The sequence below is a fragment of the Homo sapiens genome, chromosome 12 (genome assembly GCF_000001405.40).
Source record: "Homo sapiens chromosome 12, GRCh38.p14 Primary Assembly".
In the NCBI taxonomy this organism is placed as follows: Eukaryota; Metazoa; Chordata; class Mammalia; order Primates; family Hominidae; genus Homo; species Homo sapiens.
Window position 1 is genome coordinate 76,186,678 of NC_000012.12, and position 2,728 is coordinate 76,189,405.

The following is a 2,728-nucleotide window of genomic DNA, read 5'->3' on the forward strand; positions in this document are numbered from 1 at the left end:
GCTGCAATGAGGGAGGAAGTACAGGAGAGGGGAGGAGGATGACGATGGGCAATGTTCATATCTCCCTTTGTGGTCTTGGTATCTCCTTCAAAGTATTCAGGAAATGCAAGTAAAGAATGTAAATTATTAAAAAATTTCTTTGACTGTGACACTGCCCTGAGGCTGAGCAGAGAGATGGCTCCATAAATTGAATAGATCTTTGCTAAACCAACTAAATAACCCTGATTTCTACTCTGGTTGATGAAATCCAGTCTTGTTCCATTATCATTACACCTTGTATATAACATGGGTGACACAAGCCACAGCTCATCAGACCAAGGACAGACATTTACAGGTCTTTGGTTGATTCTTGTCCTTGAAGTCTTCAGGACATGGGGTGCTCCTTGCTATTTCTTACTTGCCACAAGTGGAAATGGTTTCTTAATAATTATTCCAGAAAATTCTCACAATCCCATAAAGGAAGAGTAATACTGATACAATTTCACTCATCTATCACCATTATGTATGCTAAAAAATAAAAGAAAGAAAGTTTTAAACCATGACTGTCACAAACCTCTTTTGTCATTAAAAAAGCACTGTTATGAAAATCAACATTGTATATCATGTTCTTCAGTCCAGTGCTTTGTCACTGAAAGGCAGTTGCCAGCCTGGGCAACACAGCAAGACCCCATCTCTGCAAAAAATATAAAAACTAGGCAGGCTTGGGAGGCTGAGGTTTGAGGATCACTTGAGCCCAGCAAATTGAGGCTCAGTTAGCTATGATTGTGCCTGTGATTGTGACTGGGCGACACACAAGCCTGGGCAACACAGCAAGACCCTGTCCCTGTCTCAAAAAAAGAAAAAAGAAAAGAAAGGCAGTTGCCAAAATATTTACCATAGTGTGGCAATAAAATAATCCAAGTGTTCTCTACCATGGGAGTGAGTTGGTAAGATATCTAATACTGGTAAAGTAGATTCCAGATTGTCCCTAACGAGTGTCCTCCCCCTCCTCACCTCTGTCTCCCCAGTTTTCAGGCAAGTCTGGAGGCCTAGTGGGGTCTAGTTTTATAAGTGACCAAGGAACTCCCAAGGTAGAAAGAACTCATCCTAAGGCACCAAAGAAGCAGACAAGTTGGATTTAAGGACAACAGCAAGTCAGAGGGGAGGGGTGATTCTGAGTCTCACACAGGATCTGTCATTTAGATTTTACTTTAGATTCCTATCTGAGCCCTAGAGTAAGAGAAGATTGAAAAAAAAAGTGAGTAATCCACTAAAAGAGCTTTTGAGCAGATGCAGCATCCTCATGCAGTTTCTGTTGTTTTGGGCACAGCAGGAGGCAGCACCTTTAGCTCACACAACAGGGTCCTTGACATCTGGCACCGCTGTAGGCTTTGTTGGAGACCAGGAGCACTGCTAATACCTTTGTCTTTTTGGTGGAGGCAGCAAAGAGAGGACACATCACACAGCAAGCCCCTGGAAAAGGAGGAGGAAATGGCCGGGCGCAGTGTTTCACACCTGTAATCCCAGCACTTTGGGAGGCCGAGGTAGGCAGATCACCTGAGGTCAGGAGTTCAAGACCAGCCTGGCCAACATGGCAAAACCCCATCTCTACTAAAAAATGCAAAAATTAGCTGGGCGTGGTGGCAGGCTCCTATAATCCCAGCTAGTCGGGAGGCTGAGGCAGGAAGAATTGCTGAACCTGGGAGGTGGAGGTTACAGTAAGCCAAGATCGCGCCACTGCGCTCCAGACAGAGCGAGACTCCATCTCAAAAAACAAACAAACAAACAAAAACCCTGGAGGAAATGATGGATGAGTTGAGAAGCAGAAGGAACAATTCCCCTCAGACAGACACTTCAAAAACCTTGGAATCACCCTGGACCCTCCTTCTCTTGCACCCCATACCCAACTCACCAGTACACCCTGATAGATTTCCTTTAAAACATACTCAGAATCTGACCACTTCTCAATACCCTGCTGTACTGGACCACCCTTGATAAAGGCACCATCATCTCATTGAACTGTTGTAGCAACCTCCTAACTGGTCTCCCTGCTCCCACCCTCACCCCACTCTAGTTTATTCTCGCACAGTAGTCAGAGTGATTCTATTGAAACAGAAGTCAGTCCAAGTCACTCATCTACTCAAAACACTCCAATGGATTTCCATCTCACTCTCAAGGAAAGGCAAATTCACGAATGACCTTCAAGTCACTACAGTGCTCTTCAAGGGCCTACAGAATATTCTTATCCCCTCTCCCCTGCCTACCCTTCTGAACTCTAACCTCTATCCTCTTACCTACTTTTCTCCAGCTACACTGACCTCCTTAATGTTCTTTAAACAGGCCATGTGTGTTACAGCCCAGGGCCTTTGCATTTACTGTTCCATTTTCTAGATCAATTTCCTATTAGATATCCACATGGCTTAGTTGCTCCATTATTTCCTTTCTGTATTTGCCTAAGAATCACCTTCTCTATGAGATTTTTACTGGCTGTCCTATTTAAAACTGCAAAGCCCCCAAAATTCACACTTCCTGTATCCCCCTTCCTGGCTTTATTTTTATCCATAGTATTCATCACCATGTAATCTTATATATAGCATATATATGTGTGTGTGTATGTGTGTGTGTGTATGTATATATATATAATTTTTTTTTATTTGAGACAGTCTCACTCTGTCGCCCAGGCTGGAGTGTAGTGGCGCCATCTCAGCTCACTGCAACCTCTGCCTCCTGGGTTCAAGAAATCCTCATG